Here is a 16,985-nt window from a genome sequence, read left to right as displayed (position 1 = left end):
ATCATATAGACATATCGATACTGGTGTATTACTTTTCCATTTCTGGTGCAACAAATTCTCACAGATTTGGTGACTTAAGACAAACTAATTCTCTTACATCTCTAGAGATCAAGATCTAAAATCAAGGTATCAACTGAGTTGCGTTCCTCTGGAGGTTATGAGGAGAAAAGCCATTCCCTGGTCTTTTCAGCTCCTAGTGGCCACCTGCATTCCCTGTTCATGGCCCCTTTCTTGTATCACTCCAATCTTTTGTTTCCATCATTCCATCTCCTATTCCTGACCTTGATCTTCCTGCCTCCTACACTACAAAGACCCCAGTGACTATGTCAGTCCCACCCAGCCAATCCAGGGTAATGCCCCAAATCAAATGATTGAATTAGTCAAATCTGTGAAGTCCCTTTCATTATGTCAAGTAACATATTCATGGGTCCTGGGGATTAGGACATGAACATCATTAGGAAGCCCTCATTCAACACAGCACAATTAGTATCCTTTATTGTCTCATTCTACAGGAGTTCCACTGTGGTGCTAGTACAAATTATTTTAAGTATCCTTTCTTTCTTTCTTCCTTTCTTTCTTTCTTTCTTTCTTTCTTTCTTTCTTTCTTTCTTTCTCCCTTTCTTTCTTTCTTTCTCTTTCTTTCTTTCTCTTTCCTTCCTTCCTTCCTTCCTTCCTTTCTTTCTTTATTTCTTTATTTCTTTCCTTCTTTTTCTTTCCTTCTCTCTTTCTTTCCTCTTTTTGGGTCTCACTCTGTCACCCAGACTGGAGTGCAATGGTGTGATCACAGCTTATTTCAGCCTCCAATTGCTGGGTTCAAGCCATCTTCCCACTTCAGTTGCCTAAGTGGTTGGGACTACAGGTGGGCACCACCACACCTAGCTGTTTTGTTTGTTTGTTTTGTAGAAAGGAAGTCTTGATATATTGTGCAGGCTGGTCTTGAACTCCTGGACTCAAGGGATCTTCCTGCCTTAGCCTCCCAAGGTTTTGGGATTCCAGGCATGAGCCACTGCACGGCATCTATTTCTATCATTTCTATCACATGCTACAGCTTGGCATAGGCTGTACAGAGCAGTACTTATTCTCCACTTTCCTAACTTGGTTGAATTTTAATCACAAATGGGACATGCAAGCATAAATATTACTCACCCTACTCCTATTTCTGTAAAGTTAACTCTTCCTGATATGTTGTTCTCAAGATAAATAATTGGGGTCATATAAAAGCTGTTCTTTAAGTAAAAAATGTAAAGAAAACCACTTATCATTTTCATAGATAACATAAAATCTATTTTACAATTAATCTCATCATTGGGTGTATCAACATTTCTTTTTAAAATTTCAATTTCCCATGTGAGTGAATTTCCCATCCATCTGTCTTTTCCCATTGAGGTCCTGGTATTTTATACAGTAAAAGGACTTAATGGATTATCAAGGAAAATGAGCTTGCCAGCCCACATAATTTTTAAAAAATATATTTATGTAGTTTTTATTATAAACTCAAACAGAAAAGTATCTTTAATGCTGTAATTAACTGTCTTTTACCTCTGGGCCTTTTTTGTAATTGTAGTTCTATTCTTCTTTAATAGAAACTTTTTAATCTTATTGTCATACTATGTTTTAGTCTTAATATTATTTTACTATGTATTCTTTGGTTTTTCTTCTTCTTTTCTTTTCTTTTTTAACCGGAAAGCTAAGGCAAGAATATGAACCGGTAAAAGAGGAGGTGAACTTTTTTTATATGAATGAATCCCAAGAACAGAGAGCTCAACAAACACTTGAAGATTTATGGAATGTGTTTTCCTACCTGACAAACTGTATTAGTCAGGTTTCTCCAGAGAAACGGAACATATATATGGATGGAGAGAGAGAGAGAGATTTATTATGAGAGGAGGTATAAGTCCCAGAGCCTGAAGGCCCGAGAGCCGAGATTTCAGATGTCCAAGGCCAGAAGATGGATACTCCAGCTTCAGATGAGAGAAAATTCACCCTCCTTCCGCCTTTTTGTTCTATTCAGATCTTCGATAGATTGGATGAAGCCCACTTACATTGACGAGGTCAGATCTTGTTTACTAAATTTACTGAGTCAAATATTAATCTCTTCAAAAAAAACCTTCACAGACACACCCAGAACAAATATTTTACCACCTATCTAGCAACCTCTTAGCCGATGGAAGGTGATGCATGAAATTAACCATCATACATTACTGTCACATTCTGAGTGATAAGTTTGTCAGCAAAAAGGCAATAGATGAATAAGGTTTCTAGTCTCCCATTAACACCCATTTCTTTCTTTCTTTCTTTCTTTGTTTTTTTTTTTTTTTGAGTTGGAGCCTCACTGTGTTGCCCGGACTAAAATGCAATGGTGCAATCTCTGCTCACAGCAAATTTTGCCTCCCAGGTTCAAGCAACTCTTCTGCCTCAGCCTCCCAAGTAGGTGGGATTACAGGTGCCTACTGCCATACCCAGCTAATTTTTGCATTTTTAGTAGAGACGGGTTTTCAAAAGTTGGTCAGGCTTGTCTCAAACTCCTGACCTCAGGTGATCTACCCACCTCAGCCTCCCAAAGTATTGGAATTACAGGCGTGAGTCACCGCGCCCGGCCAACACCCATTTCATATCTTTTTGTTTTCTTAGTGATTAAAAACCGATATATTTAAAATAATGTGGATTGGTGAAAACCCATATTTGCGCAGAATACTCCAGCTGATTAAAATGAATTGTTTGCCATAGCACAGTGTGGACCAACCAAAATGGAACATTATGTGGCCCTTTAAGCACTTGCAGTATTTATTATTTATGCTCATAGTGGAATCCTTTTGCTTAACATCCCAAAAGTAACATTTTACTGATTTTAAATACAGAACTTAATTCCATATTTGCTATCAATCCATAAGATCCAATATTTTAAATGGTTAAGATAGTTTTGGAAAACAATCCTTTCATTCTGTTGCTAAAATGCAATACAGTTACTATGAAATGACAAAATTTGTTTTCCATCGGCTAGTGATAAACGGGTACTCTAAAAATAAGATTAAATGAAAAATATTATTGTGTGTTTAAATAGATCTTATTTTTTCCTTTATCATTTCAAGAATTATTATATTGTTTTTTAAATAATACAAATATTATATTTTAAATATTATCATCCTTGTTTTCCAAATAAGAAAAGCAAGTCTCAAAAAAGTTGTGAAATTAACCCAGAGTCCTATATCTGGTACCTGGTGGTGATCAGCTTTGATTGTGGTTGTCCTGACTCCAGACACAGATTTTTTTTAACTAGCACATTATGGCCCCATTTTCATTACTCTCCCTATCCGTTTCTTTCTCACTTTAAAGTAATTTTATGCTTCTATTCATTGTTAATGTTAACAATTTTGAAGACATGCTATGTACAAATTAGGGTCCTATGTTTTAATTTATTAAAATTTTACCCAAGGATTTTCAAGGACACAGACAGGCTTATAGGCAGTATCCTGCCAGGGAGGGTTTATGATCCGTGCTTTGTCTGTTTCCAAGGCTGACTTCCCTTGGGTTCTTTTACAAACTTATTTATTTAGACTTCCCATATGCTTCCACATTTAACATGAGCATGTGATTTCACAGCCACGGACCTAAGGCTCTACATGTTGGGAGGTTAAGGAAGCAGAAATTTGGGGTCATGGGAGAAAATTAGAAGCATAAAAAAAAGTCCTTGTTAATGTTAAACTTTTGAGAAAAGCTTGTTGACTACTCAGAGGTTTTCCACCCCCACACGGGCAAGTGCCGGCAGAATAGAGTCCTAGAGAAAAGGAGGATCAGGAGAAGAAAAGAGACTAGTGAAAATTCTGGCCATGAAAATAGTTGCGAATAGTGAGAAGTGGACACAGGAGCCCTGAAACATTGCTGAAATCATCAGAAACAAAACAAAACAATAGCAACACCAAATAAATTGTGATCATTTTTCCACCAGGCCTGTGAAGGAGACACTCCATCTCAAGTTTAACTCAGATACACCTAAAATTTAGTAATTTGGAAGGTAATTAAATATGAGCTTCCAAAAAATACTTTGTTTGTTTTGGAGTAAAATAAAGACATTAACAAATTTATGAAGCCTAGTTTGGTAGCAGAGGGGTTGGAGGAGGTAAGGAGTAGAGAATAACTTTAAATAAAGCAAATGAAAAGGGTAATGTGTGTAAGATCACTTTGTAATCTTTAAAATATTTTATACAAACACACACATGATCGTTGAAAAAAATCCACAAATAGGGAACTTTAATTATTTAAACCTAGCTTTGAGTGTATAGCCTATTGTGAAAAGCAGTTGTTGTCAATTTAACATCCCTGATGGTTTGTTCTTGAAAAAGTCTTTCTGTGAAACTATTGCATAGGAAAATGCCATTTATTGAAATTCAATCACTATGCAAGTCACTCATTTTTGAAAAATTTGGGAGTATTTTATTTAAGAACAAGCATAAATTACTATGGAAATCTACTGTAAAATTGTGTATTTTAATGAAGAAAAATATGGGATTATACCTGCATTTCTGAATTATCTGATAATTTTCTCCCATACGCAGATATTTATCCATCTCACCATGAGTCATTTTATAATTATGAGTTTGTGAAAGCAAATTCATTCACAGTTACACAAATTAATTATTTTCTGTATTAATAAAATGAAATTTCCTGTTTTCACCCACCTTTCTCATTTATTTATTTTATCCATGAAAGTTAACTTAATTACTGGTCAATTTGATGGTATGATATAATTTAGAAAATAAACTGAAATGCCTATTTACTGTGGTATGCAGAATTCTAAAGGCGTCTACTTTCCCCCAGTGTTCTCATGCCCTGCTCAGTCAAGCACATATTACTGTGAAGAGATTTTGCAAATGTGATGAAAGTCATAAATCAGTTGATCCTAAGATACAGAGATTTTTCAGTGATGCCTGATCCAATGAGGTGAAAGCTTTAAAAGCATAAAGTTTTCCCTGGTGGAAGAGGAAGTAAGAGATTGAAAGCATGCCCTCAATGTGCAGCTTCTGGCTTTGGAAAGGGAGGTGGCCCGGTATCAAGGAATGCAGGTGGCCTTTATGGCCTTTAGAAACTACCCTTGGCAGACTACTGACAAGGAAATAGGGGCTTCAATCCTATAGCTGCGAGGAACTGAATGGAGTTTGGCCAAGTACCTGAATAAATTTGCTTATGGATTCTTCTTCACAGCCTCCAGATAGAGTCCAGCTTGGAAGACACCTTGATTTTGGCCTTGTGAAGCCTTAAGCAGAGCACCTTGCTCAAATTCTAACTTACAGAACTCTGCAAGCTAATAGATAAGTATTGTCTTAATGCTATTAAGTTTGTGGTAATTTGTTACACAGCAAAAGTAAAGTGTAACTTACTATTACTACTGTCAATTTACTATCAACTTAATAAAGTTAACAGTAAATAATAACTTTATTACGTGCCAGCTACATTATAATACAAATGACAGTGTATCTTATCATTTTCAGAGTTTTGTCTGCTTGGTAAGGTAGGACGTCGTTTGTCCAATTTACTAATGAGGCACAGGGGAAGTGCCTTGCCCAACAACTTGTGGGTGAAGCCAAGATGACAATTCAGATTTCCTGACTTTTATTTGAGACCTTTTGGTTAACTTAAGCATTTTACTTTTTGTTGTAAAAAGTACAGTAGCTCCTACATATCCATGGTTTTGCTTTCCACATTTCAGTTACTAGAGGTAAACCGTGTTCCAAAAATATTACATGCAATAAGATATGTTGTGCATGCACACATGAGGGGAGAGAGAGAGAGAGAGAGAGAGAGAGACCACATTCAATTAACTTCTATTAAAGTTTACAGTTGAGCCTTGAACAATGCTGGTTTGAACACAGCTCCATTTACACACAGTTTTTGCTCTATCTCTGCCACCCTTGAAACAGCAAGACCAACTCGTCTTTTTCCTCCCCCTCCTCAGCCTACTCAACATGAAAATGCCGAGGATGAAGACCTTTACGATGATCCACTTCCACTTAAAGAAGAGTAAATATATCTTTTCTTCCTTATATTCTTAATAACATTTTATTCTGTAGCTTAATTTATTGTTAGAATTCAGTATATAATAAATAACTTACAAAATATGTGTATATAGACGGTTTATGTTATCAGTAAGGCTTCTGGTCAACAGCAGGCTACTAGGAGTTAAGTGTTTGGGGAGTCGAAAGTTGTACACAGATTTTTTTATTACGTGAGGGATTGGCCCCCCCCATTATTCTTTAGTCAAGGATCAACTGTATTTTTATAACTGTTCTTTTTTATTATTTGTTATGGTGTTCAGTCTTTTACTCTGCCTGATTTCTAAAGTAAACTTTATCATAGGATGAAACATAGTATATATAGGATTTAGCACTATCTGTGATTTCAAGCATCCACTGGGGATCTTAGAAAGTATTTCCCATAGAGAAGGGGATTACTGAATACACATCATATTTATCACTTTTGGTGTTTTTTACTTTCTGCTTTATTGAATCTTTTCCATCACATAATGATACCTAGGGCAGATGACAAACCTTTACTTTATTTAATTAACTAATTAACATTAGTCTTTTTTTGTATACAACTTGAATGTTATATCCAGATCAAAGCTACTGCCCTCACACAAACAAGGCTGGACCTGCAGCTGAGGAGGTGCAATGTAAATGGAGCTAGCAGAGGGTGTGGCTTGCCCTAGTACTCCTTCCCTTTTCCCTCTGCTTGACTTTGAATCCTGTAGTGTTGGGAGTGTGTTAAAGAAATGGTTAGGAAAAAGAAAGAGACTTTCCTTTTCCTTTTATATTTGGTAAAGGTGGGGTCTTGATATGTTGCCCAGGCTGGTCTAGAACTCCAAGCCTAAAGTGATTCTCCTATCTTGGCCTCTCAAAGCACTGTGATTACAGGTGTGAGCCACCACATCTGGCCCAACAAGCCTGTTTCTCGACTATTGCATTCCTCATTTTGTCAATTTTTAATGATATTTTAGCCAATAACAACTTTCCATTAATAACCTCCAAGGGAGGATGTCCAGAAAGCAGAGCAGTGTAGCCTGGGTTCTTTGGTGAGGAATTACCTGGCTAGACCTTTTAAGTCCTTCTTTGTACCCCTGTCAAGACTTTCATTTGTGCTGCCAGGCCCTTGTGTGGAGCCTCTTTTCTGGGATGTAGTATTGGTGGGGTTTCTCCAGGTAGCTTCTTTCTACAGGGTCCATGGGAAGCTAACATATCCTTGCCATGCTCAAAATGAGAACTGCAGACACATGCCATTGCCCATGCTTGTCCTTGCCTTCTGTCTCTAATTGTCTTCTCCCTGTTGAGGGCGGCACTGGGGATGATCGGCAAGTCTTTTGCTTAAGGTGACATTCCAGGAGGCCATGCAAGGTTATCCACTGCTTCCTGTAATCATCCACCCATGGGTGATACTCTGGTCATTCTCACATTTGTTCCTCAACATTCACACTGCATTCCCCACACAGCCTGGGTCACTGATGACTCTAAGGAACCCTCCTCCCTCTCTTCTTTCCACTTTTTTTAAGTAGATTGAAGGAGGTGGCTGGTAATAGGAGCATTTCCACCATATCTTGACAAGGCAGTGTCCTGCACCAATTATTGATTGCTTGCCTTAGAATGCGGAGCATGCGATGCTAATGGTTTTCAACTGAGTGTACCAACCCTCAACCTGGGACCAAAGGGAGGGTCACACTAGGTATTTATTGCACTATTCTGAAACATTCAGTTGTAGCTCAGCCTACAGAAACAAAAAAAGGGAGAAGTGATTTGCCCAAATGTCACATCAGAGTCTGGATCTAAACAGTTCCCTTTGTTTATAATTCCTCTTCTGTCTGTCATAATTAATAAGATGGTATCCAAAAAAATTAATGTGATTGTAGTAAGATCTACATTTCAGTTGCCATCTGTGAGTTCTATGTTATCTGAGATCTTTGGAAATTCATTTTGACCTAAGTATTTGAATAAACAATAAAATTTTGGAATCAGAGTAGAGCAACCTTTAGAGATAAAGAGGTAGCTGTGTTTAGTGTGGCTAGTTTGAAGTTATTCTGGTTTGTTGAAAAAAATATGAACTGATGACGTCATTATAACCTTGAACTTTTTGCAATAATTCCCAAATTGTATAAAAATGCAGATACAGTTGCACTCAAGTGTTTGCCATTCAAAGGATACAAATTTGTAGAAAGCTGGCAAAGGACTGGGATGGGAAGGACGCTTGTGGCTTGTGGCAAGGCAGTTCTAGATTGATTGTGAGATATGAAACCTAACAGAAAATAAGGGGGGTTGCAGGAATTGCCAGCCAAACTGAAGTCAGGCTGATGTCCCAGGGTCTGTTAGAGTAGAAGAGGAAAGGTCAAGACTGCTGATAGAATCTAAGATATCCTGAAGCAAAGAGTTATTGTTCAAGATGGCAGATAAATTAGAGGCCCTTTCTGGTTGGGATGTAGTGGACAGCGAAAGTGCCTGGGAAGTATATTATTATTACATTTTATTTATTGAGTGCTGTCCTGGCATTGGATTCTGGATTATGCTAAACAGGATGGATAAAACACACTTATAATCCAACGCACTAACATTTAGTTGCACAGACCAGGTAATGGGGAAAAGAGATACACTGATGAAATGAAAAATGGGTTCATTATTTTTCCCCACTTTAAACACTGTTTCTCTCAAAAGAAATCTTCAACTGAGAGGAATTGATTTATTAATTCAATAAAAATCTGTTGATTTTATGTGATTTCACTATGTGCCTAACACTGTACTAGACACGTGGGGTAAACAGAAATAATAAACCATAATCATATCCTTATAGAAATGACTATTTAGAGAAGGAAAGGGGTAAGAATAACAGAAAATAGATCACTCTGCAATAATAGTCAGCAGTAAATATCCATTGCTCTGTTGTCTAGAACACTTTCCTTCTTATGAGAACAATGTGTCCTACTGATAAGGACTCTTTGCCTTGACCTTTCTCTAACCATGATTACTGTGTCTCAGTTACATTACCGGGCTCAAGTCCAAGCCTGACCCCTCAGAGTCCCTCACCAAGACTTTTCTCATTGCAGCCAAGGAAGACACTCAACACCTCAAGGTGGCAAAAGTAAAGTTATGAAGAGTTAAATATTTCCTCATATGGAAGAAGCCACACTCCTGTAGGAGATTGTGGAGCCATGAGTTGGAGAGACACTGGGAATACTGATGAAGAATAAGCAGCACTGGTTTTATTTTCTCCATTGCCAAGACATGTTTCTACATGTCTACACCTGCTTTGGTATTTTCTGAGACATGTTTCTACATGTCTACACCTGCTTTGGTATTTTTCGAGACAATATTTTTAAAAATTGTGTCTAAAATAATTCTGGTTTTGTTTTCTAGCCAACTGCACCAAGAAAGACCTGACTGTTTCTACCCAGTCATTATTTGGACAAGCATTGCCAAAACTTTAATATGTGGCAAATGGGTAATAAGACAGTAAAAGATAACTGTGGCTCACAGTTCAGCACTTCTAATCAGGATTCATCAATAGTGACCCCGACTACAATTTTTTGTTCTGTCCCCCCTGTATAGTTGCTAAAAGGGCTTTGGGAGTTTGATATAGCAGAAAAACAATAATTTTTCAAGCAAATGCAGTGACAATGAGAATTAAGATGAGAAGAAGAGAATTTTCATATACCCCTCAAATGATTCAAAGAAGGAAAAGGCAGAGAAAAAAAGAGTAAATAGTGGAATTAAGATTTTAAAATATGTAAAAAAATAACAATCGGAAATAACAAGAAAAGGAAATTAGGTGTAAAAGGTGAAGTCCAAGAAGTGAGAAAGAAAGTAAGGGAATCATCTTGCTTAGTGGTAGTCCCCTACCTCCCATCAAATATGACCAATGGTAGATATGAACAAGTGACAAAGACCCAAAATAAGAAACTCAGATTTAAAATGCACTTCAAAGGGAAATAAAAACATAAACTTTATAGGTATTTTGGCGATGATAGAAGCCTTGGTTTATAGAAGTGGGGACACTATTTTCCTCAAAGATTTTAGTTGGTAGATTTTCAAATTCATCCTGTTTAGAATGCTCTTCCTTTCTAGATGTCTGCTTCTTAGCTGTAAACTTATTTTTGAAGTTAGCAGTTGTGGTTTTGTATAAAGTGCAGAATTCAACACCAGAAAATAACACAATAAGTAGACCACCCTTTGATATACTGCCTGGTGCTAGGCATCAACCGTTCATACTTTATTTCAGTAAGAAGAGGCACTTGTCTATGGTGCTGTCAAGCCTGTGTTAAAACAGATCCAAAAAAAAATTGACAACAAAATATTATGTTGCTTGAAACTTCAAGCAAAACACTTTTCTCTTTGAAAAGAAAAGTAACTGAGACAGCAAGGGATTTTCCATTGCTTTTAAACATTCTTAAAGACTATCTGTTTACCAATAAAATAATGAAACACAATGGCAGTTTTAAAAGTATAGTAATAAAAACCATTTTTGATAACAACTTAGGAATTGTTTTTATATTAATTATCCTCATGCCTTTATTCAAATATTTGGTAGGGCATGTTGTTAGCATTGGTCAAACACTAACACTAAAAGATAAAATATTTTTAACTCACCATTATATAAAACTTGTGTTTTGAACAAGTTTTGACAAAAGAGGTGAGCAAACTTTTTCTTTAAAGGGCAAGATAGTAAATATTTGCTGGTTATATGGTTTCCGTCACAGCTGCTCAAATCTGCCATTGTAGTGAAAAAGCAAACTTGAGGAATCCATGAGCAACTGGGTATGTCTATGTTCCAATAAAATAGGTAGGGGGCTAGATTTGACTCACAGTGTATACATAACTTGCTGACCTCTGCTTTACAATAAGCAAAGAGAAGCATGACATTTATTTTTCAACTTCTCTTTGTTCTCTTCCAAATTGTATTTAATAATTATACAGCAGAGATACCACATTGAGGCAATAAAGAAAGGGTCTATATCAAAGAGAACTGAATAATTATGCAAGTGTCCCAAATCAAAGGGGGAATGAGGGTGACAGTGACATTCCAAAAAACATTCAGTTATTAATATTGAGTGCTGGCATGTTTCTGAATACAGATGTGCTGGCATTGCAGCAATCCTTTATTATGAAATGAACAGACCAGCTTTGAGAATCTAACTCAGGAAGTAGCAGCCATATCCACTTCTCCTTGCTCCTGCCTCTGCATTAGGAATGTTCCTACCTTCTGGTGCATGCTAAAACCTGTAGCTAATATAATAATCCAGTCAAACTTAAGTCTTGTTTAAAATTTTTGCACCTGGGGTTTAGGCCTTCTACACCTTGGGGATTAATTAAGGAATGGACTTAAATATTCTTATGTTGGCTTCTAGTTTTCATAGAATTGAGATGAGTTTAAAAGCAAACAGAAAATAAGGAAATGATATAAACAGTAGAGGAATTTATGAACTGTTAGGTCCAATTATACTTTTAAGACTTCGAACACAGTCCTCTCTCTAACATAGATTTGACTGTTCCCTACTCACTAATTTAGGAATTATTTCTGATAAATAAAAAAAGAGAAGAAAACAACTGAATTTTTTAAGAAAAACAAATTAAAGCAATTAGTAGGTTTTAATCAGTGCAGCTGGACTCTTTGTGCAGTTGTTCATTTGGCAGGAGTGCAGGTGATCCATTAAGAAATTATTTACTGCACATTTAAACATGAGGACTACTGTAATAAGAACTACCCAGAAAATGCACAATTGGAAAAGGCTTGATTAAAAATCTGCTAAGAAGAGACGAGATAGACCCAAGAATTTACTGAAGTATAACTCACAATATAAACCTCAAGAACTATTAATATAAAAAATGAATTATAAATATGGCATGGATATATCTGGGTGAGTCATGGTTACAAGAGTAGAGCATAAAAATAGAATAGGGGGCCGGGCGTGGTGGCTCATGCCTGTAATCCCAGCACTTTGGAAGACCGAGGCGGGTGGATCACAAGGTTAGGAGATCTAGACCATCCTGGCTAACAGTCCATGTTCATTGGCTGAAATTATCTAATAATATTAAAATGTCAATTCTTTTAACTTTACAGATTAATTAAACTCAATCAAAATTCCAAAGAAGTATTTGTAGATATCAACAAACTTATATGAAAAGGCCAAAGACCTAGGAGAGCCAAAGAAATACTAAAGAAAAAGAAAAACATTATAGCTGAAGAACTGATGGCACTCAACATGAAGACTGACCATAAAGTTAAAGTAAAAAAGTATCGTACTGGTGAAAGAATGGAAACAAAACCTATGCAACAAAATACAAGCCTAGAGATTAAACTCACACAAGTGTAGCCAATTGCATTTTGACATAGGAGCAAAGGTTATTAAATAGAGTAAAAATAAAAATTTCAACATGTGCTGCTGGAATGTTTGGATGTCTAGATGCAAAAAATAATAAAAATGCTCATAGAAACAGACCTTATACCTAACACAAATATTAACTCAAAATGAAACATAGACTTAAATGTAAAATGAAAAGCTACAAAATTCCTAGAAGAAAATACATGTGACCCTGGGTATGATGACAGATTTTTAGATACAACACTAAAATCATAATGAATGAATAAAAAATTTCATAAGTTGGACTTTATTAAAATTAAAACTTTGGCTCTTTTAAAGACACAAAAAATGTTAAAAGACAGGAAAATATGTGCAAAATATATATCTAATATCAAATCGTAACAGAGAATTCTTACAACTCAAAATATGAATACAAACAATGCAATTTTTAAAAAGGCCTAAATTACCAAAGAAGGTGTTAAGATGGCAAACAAACATATGGAAGGATGCTCGACATTATTTGTCATTAAGGAACTACAAATGAAAACAACAATGTAATACAACTACACACCTATAAAGTGGTGAAAATGCAAAAAAATTAAAAATAGCAAATGCTGGCCAAAATGTAGAACAACAAGAACTCTGATTCACTGTTTGTGAGAAAGCAAGATGAAAGAACTGTTTTGGAAGACAGTTTGGGAGTTTCTTACAAAGCTAAACGTGGTCTTGTTATTAAAATCAGAAATGGCACTCTAGTTATTTACCCAACTGATTTGAAAACTTACCTTCACACAAAACCTGCATAAGATAGCGGTTTCATTCACAATTTCTAAAACCCCCAAGTAACCTGGATATGTTTCAGCGAGTGAATGGGTAAACATACAGTGGTACATCCATACAACAACATTCTATTCCATAGTAAAAAAGCAATGAGCTCTCAAGTCATGCATAAATGTGGATGAATGCTAAATGCATGTTGCTGCATTAACGAAGCTAGTTTGAAAAGGTTACATATCATATGACTCCATTTATTTGATATTATAGAAAAGACAAAACCATAGAAACAGGAAAAATATCAGTGATTGCCAACAATTTGCAGAAATGGAGTACAGTGGTTTTTTAAAAGATATAGTAATGGTAGATATATGACATAATGCACTTGTCAAAAGCCTTATAATTTTACAACACAAAGAGTAAATCTTAATGTACACCAAAATAAAAATAAAATCTTTTTTTAAATTACACTTTAAGTTCTTGGATACACGTGCAGAATGTACAGGTTTGTCACATAGCTATACACGTGCCATGGTGGTTTGCTGCATCCATCAACCCATCATCTACATTAGGTATTTCTCCTAATGTTATCCCTCCCCTAGCCCCCCACACCTGACAAGCCCCGGTGTGTGATGTTACCCTCCCTGTGTCCATGTGTTCTCATTGTTCAACTCCCACCTATGAGTGAGAACATGCGGTGTTTGGTTTTCTGTTCCTGGGTTAGTTTGCTGAGAATGATGGTTTCCAGCTTCACCCATGTCCCTGCAAAGGACATGAACTCATCCTTTTTGGTGGCTGCATAGTATTCCATGGTGTATATGTGCCACATTTTCTTTATCCAGTCTATCATTGATGGGCATTTGGGTTGGTTCCAAGACTTTGCTATTGTGAACAGTGCAGCAATAAACACACATGTGCTTGTGTCTTTATGGTAGAATGATTTATAATCCTCTGGCTATATACACAGTAATGGGATTGCTGGGTCAAATGATATTTCTGGTTCTAGATCCTTGAGGAATAGCCACACAGTCTTCCACAATGGTTGAACTAATTTACACTCCCACCGACAGTGTAAAAGCCTGCTTATTTCTCCACATACTCTCCAGCATCTGTTGTTTCCTGACAACTGGCTAGTCATATGCAGAAAACTGAAACTGGACCCCTTCCTTATACCTTATACAAAAATTAACTCAAGATGGATTAAAGACTTAAACATAAACCTAAAACCTTAAAAACCTTAGAAGAAAACCTAGGCAATACAATTCAGGACATAGGCATGGGCAAAGACTTCATGACTAAAACACCAAAAGCAATGGCAACAAAAGCCAAAATTGACAAATGGGATCTAACTGAACTAAAGAGCTTCTGCATAGCAAAAGAAACTATCATCAGAGTAAACAGGCAACCTATAGAATGGGAGAAAATTTTTGCAATCTATCCATCTGACAAAGGGCTAAAATCCAGAATCTATAAAGAACTTAAACAAATTTACAAGAAAAAAAACCAAACAACCCCATCAAAAAGTGGGTGAAGGATATGAACAGACACTTCTCAAAAGAAGACATTTTTGCAGCCAACAAACAGATGAAAAAAAAGCTCATCATCACTGTTCATTGCATAAATGCAAATCAAAACCACAGTGAGATACCATTTCACACCCATTAGGATGGCGATCATTAAAAAGTCAGGAAAAAAATCATTCTGATGGTCAGGGGATCCCAGGATGGAAATTAGAATGTAACTATTTAAAAATATACATGTTCTTAAAAATGTATGAAACAATGCCAGTAAAAGGGGTCAAAAAAATGTTGACCTAAATACCTGTTGAAATAATTGGAGTCTATAAAAATAAATGCAAAGTCTTCTGTGATAGGGCTACACATGCAAGGCAAACCCCAAATGCCACAGGAGCAAAGAAACCAAAGAAAATAGACAAATCCAGTTTGTCAGTAAAGGGTGTTTTATTACAGAAACTTACAGACTGAAGGGTGGTGTTTGGCCGCTGCAAGACAGGTATATGTACCCACAGTTACTTCCCAGACCCAGGGCTTATACACCACAGGGAAAAGGTATATGTGCTCCAGCCAGACAATTGAAGGCAAACATTTAGAACAGGCAACAATGTTATGTGCATCACATCCTATAATTTGTGTGATAACATCAAGCTTTCTTTGATCTAAAGGCAGGATTTATAGTGAGTACATGTTCTTACATTAGTGACAATAAAGTAGGGACCAGGAGGCATTCATGGGACTAGGGCTAATCAGAAGTCAACATGGCGGATTAGCACCCAAGATGGAGGCACTTTTGTCACCATAAAAATAATTTGCACATAAGCATTACATTCCAGTTTATAGATTTGTTTGTCATCAGGGGAAATGCATTAACAAGTCTGACAACTCTATTCATACATATTGAAATGAAACTCTTATGTAAATGGATGGTGGAAGATTGGAACCAGTTTTCTCACTGTGGCAGTGGAAGTATAAAGACAAGAAAGAAGAGAATGCTAGAATGATTCACAAGGAAGTGTATTAGCATTGGCGATATCTGAGTGAACTCAGTTTAGCTTAATATTGATACAGATGTTTGCATATAGAAATATTTATGGTTTATATGCATTGGCCAGTATAAACAAACAGATTTCCCTTCATTGTCAGCTAAGTGGCCTACGGGCAACTACATCAAAATAGAAACAAATATAGCCACTACCCAGATCTTGGTCTCTAATGCCGTCAAATCACACTACAGAAAAATCTTTTGCAAAAGGAAGAGTCAATTGATGTGGCAAATTTTATTGTTGTCTTATTTTAAGAAATTTCCACAGACACACCAACCTTCAGCAACCACCACCCTGATCCATCAGTAGCCATCAACATCAAGGCAGGACCTTCCACCAGTGAAAATATTACAACAAACAAATGCTAAGTGATTGTTAGCATTATTTGGCAATATAATATTTCTTATTTAGGGTATGTACATTTTTAGACTTACTGCTATTGTACACTTAATAGACTATAATATTGTGTAAACATAATTTTTATATGTACTGGGAAACCAAAAAAAAATGTGACTGACTTTATTGTGATATTCACTTTATTGCCACGGTCTGGACTAAAATCCACAATATCTCCACAATGTTCCTGTAGTTTTGTGGACGATTTGGACAACAAAGTGTATAGTGCCTCTCTACACTTTCTTAAGACATACCCAGATATCCTTCAAATTATTGGGACATTTATTTTGTGGAGAAATATTTTCAGTTTGTGTAATGAAGTTTGGGCTAAGATAAAACAGAAATAAAATAATTTCTCTATTGATACATTAGACATATGAATTTTTAAGTTTTTATTTTTTCTTTACAATATTGTGTTTTACATAAATCTAGATGTTATAGAATAGACAATTTAAGCAGCTAGGGTATAGTTATCTTTTATTTTATTTTTATTTTTCCATAAAAGAGCATTGAATTGATAAGGTATTCTTTCCCACAACACACAATGCATTTTATTCTAGGTCTGGCATAATACAACCTAAGGGATGACTAAAACATTATGCCTTAAAAAACATATAAAATATCTCCATAACTGTTAACATTGAATACAACTCAGCTATCAATCAAATATTAACTTTTTACCTAGAAGATACACATAAGAAATTAATAAGAACTCTTCAAATTCTGAACCTATTGAGATAAATCAAAAGAATAAGTTAGACGAACATAAAAATACAACTCTTATTTCCAATAAGGGATAGTTTGTAGGATGGGGCTTGGATAACTGAAAAACAATGAGCTTCCAAATGACCCCAGAAAAAGACAGACTCTCTGATCTCAGTCACAGGCAATGCAGGACAACTGTGGACTCTGGATGGGGCAGAA

At 36.1% G+C, this 16,985-nt stretch overlaps 1 annotated feature.

Annotated features, from left to right (window-relative positions):
* Window positions 8,487–9,686: an enhancer, noted in NCBI's record as "MED14-independent group 3 enhancer chr2:104254041-104255240 (GRCh37/hg19 assembly coordinates)". NCBI's record gives its function as "activates an origin of replication core promoter dependent on BRD2, BRD4, P300/CBP and CDK7 cofactors, and independent of MED14, by STARR-seq in HCT116 cells {active_cell/tissue: HCT116}" and the evidence as "EXISTENCE:reporter gene assay evidence [ECO:0000049][PMID:35650434]".

Source organism: Homo sapiens, chromosome 2 (genome assembly GCF_000001405.40).
Source record: "Homo sapiens chromosome 2, GRCh38.p14 Primary Assembly".
NCBI classification, from domain to species: Eukaryota; Metazoa; Chordata; class Mammalia; order Primates; family Hominidae; genus Homo; species Homo sapiens.
This window is presented reverse-complemented; position numbering and strand designations above follow the sequence as displayed.